The sequence below is a fragment of the Homo sapiens genome, chromosome 16 (assembly GCF_000001405.40).
Source record: "Homo sapiens chromosome 16, GRCh38.p14 Primary Assembly".
NCBI classification, from domain to species: Eukaryota; Metazoa; Chordata; class Mammalia; order Primates; family Hominidae; genus Homo; species Homo sapiens.
Window position 1 is genome coordinate 14,413,092 of NC_000016.10, and position 16,231 is coordinate 14,429,322.

General features: G+C 48.5%; 1 long non-coding RNA gene across 1 annotated transcript, besides 2 other annotated features; it reads right to left on the minus strand.

The window, feature by feature from the left end:
• Window positions 2,241-2,535: an enhancer, noted in NCBI's record as "tiled region #5329; K562 Activating DNase matched - State 9:DNaseU". NCBI's record gives its function as "activates a minimal TATA promoter and a strong SV40 promoter by Sharpr-MPRA in K562 cells {active_cell/tissue: K562}" and the evidence as "EXISTENCE:reporter gene assay evidence [ECO:0000049][PMID:27701403]".
• Window positions 2,328-15,630, minus strand: LINC03107 (long intergenic non-protein coding RNA 3107). The gene is made up of 2 exons (XR_007065002.1): window positions 5,543-15,630; window positions 2,328-2,703 (listed from the first exon to the last, which is right to left on the minus strand). It is a non-coding gene; the product is annotated as a long intergenic non-protein coding RNA 3107 (long non-coding RNA).
• Window positions 7,701-7,995: a silencer, noted in NCBI's record as "tiled region #2182; HepG2 Repressive DNase matched - State 4:PromP, and K562 Repressive non-DNase unmatched - State 7:EnhWF". NCBI's record gives its function as "represses a minimal TATA promoter and a strong SV40 promoter by Sharpr-MPRA in HepG2 and K562 cells {active_cell/tissue: HepG2 | K562}" and the evidence as "EXISTENCE:reporter gene assay evidence [ECO:0000049][PMID:27701403]".
• Window positions 15,631-16,231: the final 601 nt, after the last annotated feature.

A 16,231-nucleotide genomic window follows, 5' to 3' on the forward strand; every position in this document is an offset into this window, starting at 1 on the left:
CCGGCCACTGGTAAAGATTTTAAATATTGCAGCTGAGCCTTCTGTGAATGTTTTTGTTTGTTTTGTTTTGTTTTGTTTTTCTTTTTTCTTTTTTTTTTTTTTTTTTTTTTGAGACAGAGTCTGTCTCTGTTGCCCAGGCTGAAGTGCAATGGCACGATCTCGGCTCACTGCAACTTCTGCCTCCCGGGTTCAAGTGATTCTCCTGCCTCAGCTTCCCGAGTAGCTGGGATTACAGGTGCCTGCCACCGCGCTCGGCTAATTTTTGTATTTTTAGTAGAGATGGGGTGTCACCATGCCGGCCAGGCTGGTCTCGAACTCCCGACCTCAGGCAATCTGCCCACCTTGGCCTCCCAAAGTGTTGGGATTACAGGCGTGAGCCACCGCCGGCCGCCTTCTGTGAATGTTTTATTAAGTTCCCATATAGCCCAGTTCACTAGCGGAAATAAGCAGCAGGGAGATTGGCACATTGTATCTCCCATTTTTAGATTAATACTTAAAAAAAATCTTAGGACTTTCATTAATTTTTTTTTTCTGCCCAGAACATTTATTTTCACTGAAAGGCTTTGGTCTTAATCTATTCTGAAAACCCGGGGTTTCATTGTAGGTGAACTGATTAGGGAGTCCGCATTCTTCCAGAGTGACATAAATCCTGCACCCGTGGGGAAGGGTGATAATATAGATTGCATTCTTGCCTTAGGTAGGTGGACACATTATCCTGGGACCCCAGGCAGCACTTTCTAGACTTTTCTCCCAGTTATATCCATAAGGGACAGGCTCATGACTGCAAGGACTTCAGCTCCCTGCCACGCCAAAGACACAAGAGGAGGGGCCCCCGAAAGCCTAAAGGGAAACCAGAAGGTTTCCCTTTATGACGCTCATTCACTCAAAAAGCACCGCATGTCCCATAAACCTGACCTCAACTCCTCTCAGGGAGAAAAAGCTGGGTTGAACTGGTGCATATTTATTTTTTTCTATAGGAAACTTTATAGATTTTTTTTTTTTTTTTTTGAGACAGAGTCTTGCTCTGCAGTCCAGGCTGGAGTGCAGTGGCCCAATCTCAGCTCACTGCAGCCTCTGCCTCCCAGGTTCAAGCCAGTCTCCCACCTCAGCTGGCAGTAGCTGGGATTACAGGCACATGCCACCACGCCTGGCTAATTTTTTTGTATTTTCAGTAGACAGGGTTTCGCCATGTTGGCCAGGCTGGTCTCGAACTCCTAACCTCAAGTGATCCACCCGCCTCAGCCTCCCAAAGTGCTTGTATAGGAAACTTTGTAAAATGCTGCACACACCAGCCTCTGCCTGAGCATTAGCAGTTTGGAGAGAGAGAGGAACACAGAGCTAGGTCATCTCTCCAGAGGAGCCAGGTCCCACCCCTGATCGTTGCTTTGTGACTTTGTGAAGTGTCTGGGTTCACAATGGTGAGTGGGGGAACTGAATTAGAAGGGCTCTAGCCCTTTTCCCTCTGAAATCTTACGATTCTGTGAACCCTCCTACTGGGCTTGGGGATCTTCATTTTTGCAGAAGTCGTGACTGTAACGCTGGGTGTGGTGGCTCACACCTGTAATCCCAGCACTTTGGGAGGCGGAGGTGGGCAGATCACCTGAGGTCAGGAGTTCGAGATCAGCCTGGCCAACATGGTGAAACCCCATCTCTCCTAAAAATACAAAAATTAGCCAGGCATGATGGCAGGCACCTGTAACCCCAGCTACTCAGGAGGCTGAGGAAGAAGAATCACTTGAACCTGGCTGCAGTGAGCCGAGATCATGCCACTGCACTCTTGCCTGGGCAACAGAGCAAGACTCCATTTCAAAAAAAAAAAAGAAGAAGAAAAAGAAGGAGTAATCGTACTAATTGGCTGGAGGACATGGGGAATCTGAACTGTCAAAGGGAAGAAGTCAGGAAAAACTGAATGTTAGACATAGCCCACCTTGACTCCTAGAGGAGCTTGGCGAAAAGCTTGGGAAGCAGACACTAGACAGTGGCCCTTCACTAAAAACCACGTCTCTGGCCGGGAGTGGTGGCTCATGCCTGTAATCCCAGCACTTTGGGAGGCCGAGGCGGGCAAATCACCTGGGGTTGGGAGTTCGAGACCAGCCTGACCAACATGGGGAAACCCCATCTCTACTAAAAATATTATAATAATAATAATTTAAAAACCATGTCTCCTTAGTCACTTCCTGGGTGCTGGCAAATTGGATATGGGTACATTACAGATTTACCTCATTCCATCCTTACGACAGCCCTTTGGGGTAGGTACAAGTGGTGTTATTGGCCAGGTGCAGGTGTGTCCTGCCCGCATGCAGTAATCAGTCACTGTGACTATGACGTGGGTTTTGCAAAAGAGAAAAGATTTATTTGCAAGGCCACCAAGCAAGGAGGTAGAACAGCTCTCACATCCTGCTTCCTGAAGATAAGGCTTAGGGATATTTATGGGTTAGGGAAACACGGTGGTGTAAGGCATGGGGAAACGTGATTGGCAGCAGGGAAAAATTAATTGATAGGTTTGTTCTGCACAAGCGTAATAGTCAGAGTTGGTGGCATTTCATAGGACATGTGTACAGAAAGTGGTGGCATTAGCATGATCTGAGGGCGGGATCTTTGGCCCTCTGACATCAAAAGTCCACTTCTTGGGCATTTGGGCAGGCCCATTGAAGAACTGGTGGTCCCAACCTGATTGAACTGGATGGGAGCTGGCCTAAGTTCCTGAAAAACAACTGAAGCAAACATTACCATAGTGACCTGTGAATGTGATCTCTAAAGAAGCTAGTGAAGGGTATATTTCAGTGTTTAATGCATGGTATTCAGCTACCACAGCCTTCAGCTATGACTATCTTCAGCTTCATAGGAAAAAGAGAAAAAGGCCAGGCATGGTGGCTCATGCCTGTAATCCCAGTTTTTTGGGAGGCCAAGGTGGGAGGATCGCTTGAGCCCAGTTTAAGACCAGCCTGGGTAACATAGTGAGACCTTGTCTCTGTTATAATAAAAAAAATTAACACAACAGGCAAGGAAGGAAGGAGGGAGGGAGGTAAGGGAGGAAGGGAGGGAAGGAGGAAGAAGGAAGGAAGGAAGGAAGGAAGGAGAAAGAAAGAGAAAGAAGAGAAAGAAAAAAGGAGAAAAATGAAAGATTAACAAAACAAGCAAGTGACCAAAGCAAGCAGGGCAGCCAGACCTGATCAAATTAACTCCTCAGTTTTGGTGACAGTGACTATTCACTGCTTCCCAATCTCCAGCCCTCCCTTCCTTCTTAGTAGCAGAATCCTAGAAATGTGTCTAGCTAGAAAACTATTGTATTAGTTAGCTATTGCTGCGTAACAAATGAGCACAACGCTTAGCTCCTGAAATCAAAACAAAAAAGTTTGGCATCTCATGTTTTCAGTGGGTCCTCTGACTCGGGTCTCTTGTGAGACTGCATTGAGATTTCCACAAGGGCTGCCATCATCTGAAGGTTAATCTGGGGAAGGATCTTCTTCCCAAGCTCACTCATGATAAGACTGTTGCACCGAGGGCCTCAGGTCCTTGCTAGCTGTTGACCAGAGGCATCAGTTTCTCTTTCTTTTTTTTTTTTTTGAGACAGATTCCTGCTCTGTCGCACCATGATACTGGCTAATTTTTGTATTTTTAGTAGAGACGGGGTTTCATCATGTTAGTCAGGCTGGTCTCAAACTCCTGACCTCAAGTGATCCACCCGCCTTGGCCTCCCAAAGTGCTGGGATTACAGGCATGAGTCACTGCTCCCAGCAGAGACATCAGTTTCTTACCACGTGGGCCTTTCCAGAGAGCACCTCACTACCTGGTGGCTGGTTTTCCTCAGAGCAAGACAGGATGCCCAAGACAGAACTGCCATCTCTTTGAAACCTAATCTCACAAGGGACATCCCATCACTTTTACCATAGATGTTGATATGGCTTGGCTGTGTCCCCACCCAAATCTCAACTTGAATGGTATCTCTCAGAATTCCCCCATGTTGTGGGAGGGACCCGGGGGGAGATAATTGAATCATGGGGGCTGGTCTTTCCCGTGTTATTCTTGTGATAGTGAATAAGTCTCTTGAGATCTGATGGGTTTATCAGGGGTTTCCGCTTTTGCTTCTTCCTCATTTTTCTCTTGCCACCATGACAGAAGTGCCTTTCACCTCCCACCGTGATTCTGAGGCCTCTCCAGCCATATGGAACTGTAAGTCCAATAAAATCCCTTTTTCTTCCCAGTCTCAGGTATGTCATTATCAGCTGCATGAAAACAGACTAATGCAGATGTTATTGCAGCTAGACATGGTTATGTGACTAAATTCTATTCTTCCAGCCATAGTCTATTGCTTAGAAGAAAGTTACTAGATCCAGCCACACTCAAAGCGAGTGGGAATACAAATACAAATACAAATACAAATACAAATACAAATACAAATTTCCCCCCTTCCTCACAAGGGGGAAAATGCTGGAATAAAGGGATTAATGGGGACTTTTGGGGAGTGGAGAAGGGCCTTTTTTTTTTCTTGAGACAGGATCTCACTCTGTAACCCAGGCTGGCATGCAGTGGCATGATCATAGCTTACTGTAGCCTTGAACTCCTGGACTCAAGTGATCCTCCCACCTCAGCCTCCCAAGTATCTGGGACTACAGGTATGCACCACCATGCTCAGCTAATTTTGAAATTTTTGTAGTGACAGGGTTTCACTACGTTGCCCAGGCTTGTCTGGAACTCCTGGGCTCAAGTAATCCTCCTGCCTTGGCCTCCCAAAGTGTGAGCCACTGCATCCAGTGATATTGGGGCCATTTTTGAGGCTACCTACCACAGCTACCTCTCCCAGATGTTCTTGCAGATAGGCATGGCCAAATGTTTTATTTTTTATTTTTTTAGATACAGGGTCTCACTCTGTCACCGAGGCTGGAGTGTAGTGGTGCAATCACAGCTCACTGCAGCCTTAACCTTCTGGGCTCAAGTGTTCCTCCCACCTCAGCCTCCCGAATAGCTGGAATTACAGGCCTGTGCCACCACGCCCGGATAATTTTTATTTTTTTGTAGATGGTATGCCACTATGTTGCCCAGGCTGGTCTTGAACTCGTGGCCTCAAGTGATCTGCCCACCCCATTTCAGTTACTGTATTCAGACCTCTGTTACTCTCAGTTGAACCTAATTGTAAACATTGCAGTATTACTGTCCCCCCTCCATTGTACAGAAGAAAGTCGAAGTTCCAGCCAGGTGCGGTGGCTTGTGCCTGTAATCCTAGCACTTTGGGAGGCTGAGGCGGGTGGATCATTTGAGATCAGAAGTTCGAGACCAGCCTGACTAACATGGCAAAACCCTGTTTCTACTAAAAACACAAAATTTAGCTGGGCCTGGTAGTGCATGCCTGTAGTCCCAGCTACTCTAGAGGCTGAGGCACGAGAATCACTTGAATCCAGGAGGCAGAGGTTGCAGTGAGCCGAGATTGCACCACTGCACTCCAGACTGGGCGACAGAGCAAGACTCCATCTCAAAGAAAAAAAAAAAAAGGAAAAGAAAAGAAAGAAAAGAAAACCGAGGTTCCTAGGTACATAGGACTTACCCAAGGTCAGAAGCAAGTAAGTGGTTGAGGCTGAGCTTGACTTCCAATTTGTTTCACTACAAACCACATCTTTCCTCCAATGCTTCTATTTTATTTTTCTTTTTTGAGACGGCCTCTTCCAATGCTTCTAGAGAGAGATCTATGAGGCGGGGGCAGGGGGGGTGTCAACCAGAGCTCCTGCCTTATCTTTTAGACAATTTTCACTATATGAAGTCAAACGGGAGACAGGAGTGCTATGTGACGGTAGCCTGGCAAAGCAGTCCCTTTGCTAAGGCAGGGAGGTTTTATGACTGGTTTTATTTATCAGGCTGCCTGTCTCTCCTGTGGGGACACTCAGCAAGGGAACATTGTGGACTGGGAAATTGTTGGTTTGGGAAACGTTCCCAATTTCAGCATAAGTGATAGGGAAGGCTGGGCCGAAAGGGCAAAAAGTCGGAAGGACTTTTTGTCTGGGAAGGATCTGGGCTGTGTCTGGGAAGGATCTGGGAAGGATCTGGGCTGTGTCTGAAGCCGGGCAGTGTTGTTGTAGACTGAAGACTTGGCAGGGCAAGGCCAGTAGCAATGCCCTTCTAGAGGAGGGACAGGGAGATTAAAAAGCCCCAACTCACGAGGCCATCTCCTTCTGGAGAAGACCTTAATCAGATCCCCATGGAAGGATGATGGAAGTTGCTTGTTGAGATGGGTCATTCCCTAACCACGGAACTCCAATTCAGTCCCTGGGACCTAACAGACAAGCTCACCTTCCATTGGGGGTGAAACGATGCTTGTCACCTCAACTTCCCTGCAGCCTTTTTCCTGTTTAAAAACTTGCTTCTTTCATTCATTCACCCTAACCTACAGCAGTCCCTTGAGACAGGAACATTAACCTAGTTAATGCACTCACCTGGATGAAAGAAGAGTATCAGCTCACCAATTTGCTGTAAGTTAATGAGCGCCTCTCAAGGATCCAAAAAGGCTTTTGCAGATTAAGCTGGATGTTTCTGTTTCACTCTTTGCACTGGTCTACGATGACTATGCACCAGCAGCCTCTTTTTTCACAGACTGCAGGGTCTTTCCTGTAGCCAAATATTCTCTGTAATCATTTGGGCTTTTATGGTGGCAGGTGTCAGAAATGTAACTCAAACTAGGGTAAGCAAAAGTGAGAGAAGATGTATGGATTTATGGAACAGGAAGGGATGGGGTGGATCTAGCACTGGGCACATATGGAGCCTTCTATAGCTGCTGTCCATATGCTCCCTCAAACTGGGTTGTCCTCCTTCCCTCCTCCTGCAGATGGGTTCCCAGCGTGGACTGGAAGATGGCGGCCAGCAAGCCCACATCCTGTTCTTCCAGCATAGTGGCTATAACAGGCAAGAGGATCTTCCCCATGATTGAGACATCTGGGTCACATGCTCATCCCAGGGCAAGGGAGCTCTCTGATCAACTGGCCTGGGTCCTGTTCCCACCTCCTACAGATGGGAGGGCAGGGTGCTGTGAATGGCAGGCTTCACCAGAATTCATTATTAGAGAAGATCAGCTCAAAGAAATGGGGTGCTTCCAGAAAACAGCGGCTCATTTCTACTTCAGTCCAACATTGCACAGAGGTGGATGAAGGTTTCTCTGTGCATGTTTGCAAAACCAAGTCCCCAGCAGTCGTAGATGGATTTCCCAATGCAGAGCCACTCCTGAATCTGGTGTGGGAATCCTTCCCACCCTTCTTGCCCATCCTGTCTTCTGTCTTCCTGGCCCTCTCCCCTCACTTTCCTGCTTTTGTTTCTTTTTTCTTTTCTTTTCCTTTCCTTTTCGTCTTTCTTTCTTTTCTTTGTCATTCTTTCTTCCTTTTCTTCCTTCCTTCTTTCCTTTCTCCTTCCTTCCTTCTCTTTCTCTCCTTTCTTTCTTCTCTCTCTTTCTTCTTTCTTCCTTTTTTTTTTTTTTTTTTTTTTGAGTCAGGATCTTGCTTTGTCACCCAGGCTGGAGCGCAGTGACACAATCATAGCTAGCCGCAGCCTCAACCTCCTGGGCTCAAGCAGTCCTCCCTCCTCACCCTCCTGGGTAGCTGGGACCATAGGCACACACCACCTGGCTAATTCCTACCGGCTTTTCTGTGGATGAGGATCTTAACCGCTAACTAATAAAGTTCCTGGGACAGACCCTGCTATGCTCCCTCCAGAACATAACCAGGGCTGAGCTTTCTCTGTCGCAGGAGTTCCCTCTCTGGTCCTTGCCTCAGCCCTCTGACAGCTCCCCTCACTGCACTCTGAAGACAGAAGAGCTGCTAGTAAGCTGGGCTGCCAATTCCAGACAACGTTTGACCTTTCAACCTGAGCAGGCTGAGCGGCGGCTGAGTGCAGAGCCACAGCTGGATGTTGACAGTTCTTGGCCACCAAGAGGGAAAGAGAAACGCAGACCCATATTCTGCGGGCGGAAGGGGCAGTCGAATGTGGTCAGTTTGACACCTCCCAGTGCCGGCTGAAGAGACACTGGATGGGTGAGCACCTTACGATTTTGTCTCCAAACTGCTTGGGCCATAAAATAAATCTCCCGCTTGTCAAGGAGTTTGAGCTGCACATCCATGACCCTGCACATCGTGTCTGCTCACAGCAACCTCAGCGTGGCCAGGAGTCCGGGGCAGGAAAATGTGCTGGGGTGACCTGATGACCACCCAGAGGCCTCCAGGCTTGCCTCCACCATGATGGTAGGAAGTTGATCAATATCTTGACCAGTATCTGTGGCTGGGTATTCCTGCTCTCTCCCTGCTGTGGAGGCCAGGACGCTGCTCCTAAGACAGTAGAAGCTTCTGCCTTAGAAGAGGGGTGCCCAACTCCAGGGCTGTGGACCAATAAGCATTCCATGGCCTATTGGGAACCGGCCGCACAGCAGGAGGTGTGCGGCAGGTGAGTGAGCATTACTACCTGAGCCCTGACTCCTGTCAGATCAGTGTGGCATTATATTCCCATAGAAGCACAAACCCTATTGTGGACTGCACGTGCAAGGGATGTAGGTTGGGCACCTCTTACGAGAATCTAACGTCTGATGATCTGAGGTGGAACAGTTTCATCCCGAAACCATCCCCTCCCACCCCCACCCCCCGCCCCCATCCGTGGAAAATTGTCTTCTACAAAACTGGTCCTTGGTGCCAAAAAGATGTGGACTGCTGGCTTAGAGAGAAGCCAAATGAGCCCTCCTAACATACAGAGGCCATTGTATTGTGTTCCAGAATTAGGATGGCCTCAGGAGTCCATCTTGTCCCGTTTCTTTCTACCTTCATCCCTCCTTCCCTCCCTTCTTTCCTTCCTTACTTCCAAGCTGAGGTCTCGCTATGTTGCCCAGTCTGGTCTCCAACTCCTGGCCTCAAGCAATCCTCCCTCTTCACTCAGCCTCCCAAGTAGCTGGTACTACAGACACATGCCACTGTGCTTGGCTAATTTTTTTTTTTTTGAGATGGAGTCTCACTCCGTCACCCAGGCTGGAGTGCAATGGCATGATCTTGGCTTACTGAACCTCCTGAGTTCAAGCGATTTTCCTGCCTCAGCCTACTGAGTAGCTGGGGTTACAGGAGCCTGCCACCACACCCGGCTAATTTTTGTATTTTTAGTAGAGACAGGGTTTCACCCTGTTGGTCAGGCTGGTCTTGAATTCCTGACCTCGTAATCCACCCGCCTTGGCTTCCCAAAGTATTGGGATTACAGGCGTGAGCCACCGTGCCCAGCCATGCTTCGCTAATTTTTAAATTTTTAGTAGAGATGGGGGTCTTGCTACGTTGCTCGGGCTGGTCTCAAACTCCTGGGCTCAAGCAATCTTCCTGCCTTGGCTTCCCAAAGTGCTGGGATTATAGGCGTGAGCCACTGCACCTGGCTTCATTGTCTTCTTTCATGGTGGTGTCCCAAACCCCTGTTATGCTGTCAGCCCGGTATTCTAAAGATGGGTCCCCAGACCCCCTTGGCCACCTTTCTTAGGGGTCCTGTCTGTGATGACCATCACAGTCAAGGCCGTCATTTTCTGTCTAGCCACCCTCACTTCTGCCGCACATGGTGCCCTATTTTCTTAGTCATCTCACTCATTTGAGGCCAAAGGACCTAGTGATGGGGAGTGGGTCCTCAATACTGTGTGTCACCTCCTGGGTCCGTTTGTGTCCAGGTGCTTATTTGAAACCTTCCTTTGCCCTGTGTTTCCACTGGCCCATTTTTGATTTAAGTCATGGATACATTCATAAGTTCTGGTTTTTTGTTTTCTTAAGAGATGGGGTTCTCACTCTGTCACTCAGGCTGGAGTACACTGTCTTGATCATAGCTCACTGCAGCCTCGACCTCCCAGGCTCAAGCAATCTTCCTGCCTTAGTCTCCCAAGTAGCTGAGACTACAGGCATGTGCCACCACACCCAGATAATTTTTGTATTTTTTTGATAGACAGGGTCTTGCCATGTTGTCCAGGCTGGTCCCAAACTCCTAGCCTCAAGTGATCCTCCTGCCTCAGCCTCCCAAAGTGTTGGGACTACAGGTGTGAGCCACTCCACCTGGCCAAGAGTTCTTTTTTAAAAAAATGTTTACCTTTTTTTCTCCCCGTTTTTGGTTCTGGAGTCCAGGGGCAAGAAGAAGAGAGGGGGCAGATCCTTCTAAGTCCCAGTGCAAGCTCTCTTCCCCATGGAGGGGAATTGCTCCCAGAATTGAGCTGCTTCTCAGCACATTGGTCTATTTTTGCAGGAGAGCTGGCTGCCCCATGCCAAGGTTTCTTACCGCAAATAGAACTCCTGGAAGGGCCCACTGGTTTCCTCTGGGCGTTCAGACATCTCTTCACATTTCCTTTGGCTTTCCTGCCGTATCCCCAAAAGGAGATATTTAGAGGCTCTTCTGTTGTATTGCCATTGCAGGTACTTTCTGAGGCTCTCCAGAGGGACTCCTCCTGGGTGGCAGTAAGCCCAGCCTCATTCCTCAGCTCTGGCTCCTGGCACGCCTCTCTGACACACCCAGGAAGCTGAGCTGGAGGCCCCTGGGGTAGCCAGAAGGCCCATCTGAATTCCACATGGTGGGCTCATCCCCCTGAAACAGTAGAACAGACAAACCACCAGTGCCCACTGTCAGCATCCCTGTCCCTCAGACTCCCTGGACTTTTAAGTGCCTCTGGACCCCACCTCTCATTCGGGACAGAATTTGGGAGTTGGGTGTGTGTCACCCTAAGAGCCATGGGCACAGTGATACGCAACCAAGACCCCTACAATGGGATGTCTACAAATCTCAGCGCTCACGGCACAATTCCTAAGAGTCAAATTACAACAGGTTGGGGAAAAAAGACAAGACCACCTCACCAGCTTGATGGGGACTGTCAACCAGGCAAGAGCCACGTGTGCCCAAGACTGGCTTTGATGTGTCAGGGTCCAAGGTTAGGAGGGGCAGGGGAAAGCCATGCCTCACAGCACTCAATACAGAGCTTCAGAAGATTCCAGAACACCACCACACCCAATCATTTGCAGGGCTCCCACCTTACGTAAGTGTCTCAACTCTCTCTCTCAGTCTGTGTGGCCGTTAAAACTCCGTCTCTGGCAGAGAGACTGGGTTTGAGTTTCAGTTCTGCCACTTACTAGCTGTGGGACCTTGGGTTGTTTCTAAACTGCTCTGAGGGCTGCGTGTGGCGGCTCATGCCTGTAATCCCAGCACTTCGGGAGGCTGAGGTGGGCAGATCACAAGGTCAGGAGTTTGAGACCAGCCTGGCTAACACTGTGAAACCCTGTCTCTACTAAAAATACAAAATTTAGCCAGGGGTGGTGGTGGGCACCTGTAATCCCAGCTACTTGGGAGGCTGAGGCAGGAGAACTGCTTGAACCCAGGAGGCAGAGATTGCAGTGAACCAAGATCGCACCACTGTATTCCAGCCTGGGCAACAGAGCGAGACTCCATCTTGGAAAAAAAATAAAATAAAATAAATAAACTGCTCTAAGCCTTCATTTCCCCTCCCGAGGGAACAACAGGGATATTAATAATAACGTGCCTAGCCCATCATAGGCCTCGGTATGAAGAACAACGGTTTGTGAGGGCTAGTCTCCTCAACATGAGGGACAGAGGGACATTTTCCATGTGGTCAAATCATCTGAACTAAAGACACTATTGAGTTAAGAGGCACCAACTCATCATATGAACGAGAGATGGAAGTGACATTTCCCTTGGAGTTGCTCCCAGCTGGCACAGATTTGTGTGTAAACAAGTGTGGTACATTTCCCCTTTCAGTTGATGTAGCTTTCTGCAGACCAGCAGCTCCCAAACTTGCGCAGGCACTAGAATCACCTGGAGGGCTTGTTTCCAGACAGCCAGGCCCTGGCCCTGGAGCTCCTGACTCAGTAGGACTGAAGTGGGGCCCAAGAATGCACATTTCTAGCAAGGTCTCAGGTAAGGCTGATGCTGCTCCACTGGGGCCACACGCTGAGAACAAGGAGTTTCAAAGCCCGGCCAGCAGGTTCCATGTCTGTTTCTTCCTGGGGGTGAAACCCCTTGTCGCTGTGGGCCCCCATATCCCCCTTGTAATTGAATGTTTAAGGCCAGGCGTGGTGACTCACACCTGTCATCCCAGGTGTACCATAAACCCACCTATCTACCCACTACCTAGATTTGGTAATTATTATTTTCTGTATTTGTTTCATCTCACTCTGTGAGGTTAAAGATAAGTTAGACATTAGACATATCACTCCTAAGTACAATTAACAAATTTCAGTATCATCTAATAGCCTGTCCACATTCTAATATTCTCAGTTGTCCCAATATATAAAAATATATTTCACCATGCACAGTGGCTCACACCTGTAATCTCAACACTTTGGGAGGCCAAGGTGGGAGGATCACTTGGGGCCGGGAGTTCAAGACCAGCCTGGGCAACATGGCGTGACCCCCGTCTCTGTGAAAATTTTAAAAATTAGGCCAGGTGCAGTGGCTCATGCCTGTAATCCCAGCACTTTGGGAGGCCAAGGTGGGTGGATCACAAGGTCAGGAGTTCAAGACCAGCCTGGCCAAGATGGTGAAACCCCGTCTCTACTAAAAATAACAAAAAATTAGCAGGCGTGGTGGTGGGCACCTGTAATCCTAGCCACTCGGGAGGCTGAGGCAGAGAATTGCTTGAACCCGGGAGGCAGAGGTTGCAGTGAGCCGAGATCACACCACTGCACTCCAGCCTGGGCGATAGAGTGAGACTCTGTCTCAAAAAATAAAAAAATAAAAAATAACTTACATAAAATAAAAAATTTTTAAAAAATTAAAAGACCGGGCGCAGTGGCTCATGCCTGTAATCCTAGCAATTTGGGAGGCTGAGGCAGGCAGATCACGAGGTGAGGAGATTGAGACCATCCTGGCTAACATGGTGAAACCCCGTCTCTACTAAAAATACAAAAATTAGCCTGGCGTGGTGGTGGGCACCTGTAGTCCCAGCTACTTGGGAGGCTGAGGCAGGAGAATGGCTTGAATCCGGGAGGCAGAGCTTGCAGTGAGCTGAGATCGTGCCACTGCACTCCAGCCTGGGCAACAGAGCAAGACTCTGTCTCAAAAAAAATAAAAATAAAAATATAAAAATAAAAAATAAAAAATTAGCTGGGCGTGGTGGCACGCACCTGTGCTCCCAGATACTTGGGAGGTTGAGAAGGGAGGATTGTTGGAGCCTGGGAGTTCGAGACTGCAGTGAGCTATGATTGTGCCACTGCACTCCAGCCTAGGTAACAGAGCGAGATCTCATCTCTTAAAAAAAAAGAGGCCGGGTCGAGTGGCTCACACCTGTAATCCCAGCACTTTGGGAGGCTGAGGCGGGTGGATCACCTGAGGTCAGAAGTTTGAGACTAGCCTGGCCAACATGGTGAAACCCCGTCTCTACTAAAAATACAAAAATTAACTGAATGTGGTGGCATGCGACTGTAATCCCAGCTACTAGGGAGGCTGAGGCAGGAGAATCGCTTGAGCCTGGGAGGCGGAGGTTGCAGTGAGCCGAGATTGCGCCACTGCACTCCAGCCTGGGTGACAAGAGCGAGAATCCGTCTCAAAAAAAAAAGAAAAAAGAAGCGATTGGCTGGCTTGGGAGGTGGGTGTTTTAAATGCTGCGTTGCAGGATCTGTAGTCCTCTGGCTGATGAGTAAATTGGAAAACAGTTTGGCCACATGTATCAAGAGCCTTTGAAATGTTTCTGCTTCCTGGTGCTGTAATCCCCGTTCCTGGAAGCTCTCTCTTAAGAATAATCTAAGAGATGGACCAAGTGTAATGGCTGCCTGTGGCATGCAGAAAGCGCAAGTTGCAGGTATGTGTGTAACTCTATTTCTAGAGCTATAGACGGACAGAGTGGGAAGGGGGGATTCTGGCCGCAACCAGGTGCACTGACTCCAGAAGGATCCACGCTCTGCACAGATGAGCCGGGTTTATGAAGGGATCCCAGCCACCCTCAGTTGCTGGGCACCCCCACCTCCTTCTATCTTTATCTACCTACCCCGTGATGTCCTTCGTCTGGATGACGGTATCAAATCGTGGTTAGGCACATGGGCGTTGCAGTCGGACATCCTGGGGCTTGAATTCCAGCTCTGCCACTGACCCTGACCTCCAGTGCAGGTTACTGAACCCGCCTGAGCCTCAGTTTATCTTCAAATGGGGATAATCGTGCCTAAACGTCGAGTACAAAATGCTTCCCATAGACTGAGCTCCAATACACAGTCCCTACTGCTATCAGAAAAAAACACACAGTGGCGTGGAGAAGAAAACTCACTTTCAGAAAGCAAGGATGACACACCAGAGGGCAAGTTTGTTTTAAAATGGAAAGTTCTTGAGAGCAGGGGGTGTGTGTTTTCCAGGAGGAGGCTGTGGGTGCTTCCCAGTGTAAGTAAACAATGGCAGGAATCTGGGGAAATGCCTCGGTGAGCACTTACTACCCGTGGGTGCTTTCTATTCTCCCCCTGGTTTAGTCCCGTCTAGTCCCACAGGTGAGGAAACTGAGGCTGGGAGCCGGGACAGCATCCTCGGGCTCACACATCTGGTGAGCAGCACAGCAAGCTCTGAGCTCAGATCTGAGCAATCACCCAGCCCACATGCTGATCAGTGTAGTCCCGCTGCCTCTAATGGGTGGTTTCCTCAACACTGTTACTAATGAAAACTCTTTCAGGGTGCCACTGGCCAAAGTAGGAATGAGCAAATGGAAAAGGGAGACAATGAGGGCTCTGAGGCTCTGCGAGGTGGGTGCTCCCATCACACCACCCAATCAGGATGCGAACCACTTGCTGATTCACACACACGCAGACAATGGGGAATTATGAAGCCTTGTAAAAACAGCAGAAACACCCAACAGACCCTCCATTTTTTCTCTAGTTAGCCCCAGCCTCCAAAACTAGGGCAAAAGCCTAAGCTTTGCTGAGTCACAATCATTTATCAAGGTAATTTGTAGGCACAGCACTCGAGATGCTATGCAATTTTTACCCCATTCAACAAATGCAGGACAACCTGCCGGGGAAGATTAGTCCTTCCTAAGTAACAAGAAGGACTCTAAATTCTCAGATTCTGGGTTATTAAGAATAAGAAGAGGCTGTGCAAACTAGACCACAGCGTGCAGAGAGGAGATGTGTGAAGAGACTTAACTTTCCTCCCTACCCACAGCCACAACTAGGGAACCACATTCAATCTAATTGGGTGTTTTTGGCAGTCTGGCTGTTGCCTGCCCTCCAAGGCCTGCCAGGAACCAAGAATCCACCACCCAGGCTTAGACACCTGCAAGGGCACTTGGGTGGAAGAATCCTGTCCCCCTACCCTTCCTCCTGCAGGAAGAGGACAGCATCAAAAGGCGGGTAGCTGGTTCTCTGGTTGTTATTGGAAATATAGGAAGACGTGTCCATGGAAAAGTTGCATGGGCCTGGCACAGGTGCCTAAGGCTTCCCTTTGCTCAAGTCCACACTTGCACACACAGGTAAGGCTCCCTGGCTTCAAGTTTCTGATTTACCATTTTCCTATGTTTTCAAGCTTAAAAAAAATCACCGTGAGGATTCACTCTTTACTTATGAAACATACTTAAGTTCCCCACCTCACCCTCTAAAACAGAAAAAAAAGGGTGCTTATTTGTTGTCCTTTTTTGACAAGAATTATCTGTCTAAAACTTTTTTTTTTTAACTTTTTTTTTTTTTTTTTTGGTCAGCCAGGCTGGAATGCAGTGGTATGATCTTGGCTCACTGCAACCTCCGCCTCCTGGGTTCAAGTGATTCTCCTGCCTCAGCCTCCCAAGTAGCTGGGATTACAAGCATGCGCCACCACGCCTGGCTAATTTTTGTGTTTTTAGTAGAGACAGGGATTTGCTATGTTGGTTGGCCAGGCTGGTCTCGAACTCCTGACCTTAAGTGATCTGCCCGCCTCGGCCTCCCAAAGTGCTGAGATTACAGGCGTGAGCCAGTCTAAAAAGATTTCCATTTAAAAAGACCCTCAACTTGAACATGTAGCGTTCTCACCAGGCCCAGTCAGCATCAAGCTTTCTCAAGTTCAAGTTCACAGCATGACTAGAAAAAGCAGGCAACTGAAGACAAACGGAACTGCTGTTTGCAGGATCAGGCAACTTGGAGGAGAGGATGGCGCACAACCAGGGGAAACATGATCTGGCCTTCAGGTGTCCTATTTCCCCTCCTCGGCAAAAATCAGACACATTGATTTACTCCATGAATCATTTGGGGGAAAAAGATTTCAGCTGAACTCATGAGATTTTTTAAAAAGTAGCGAAAAAGAT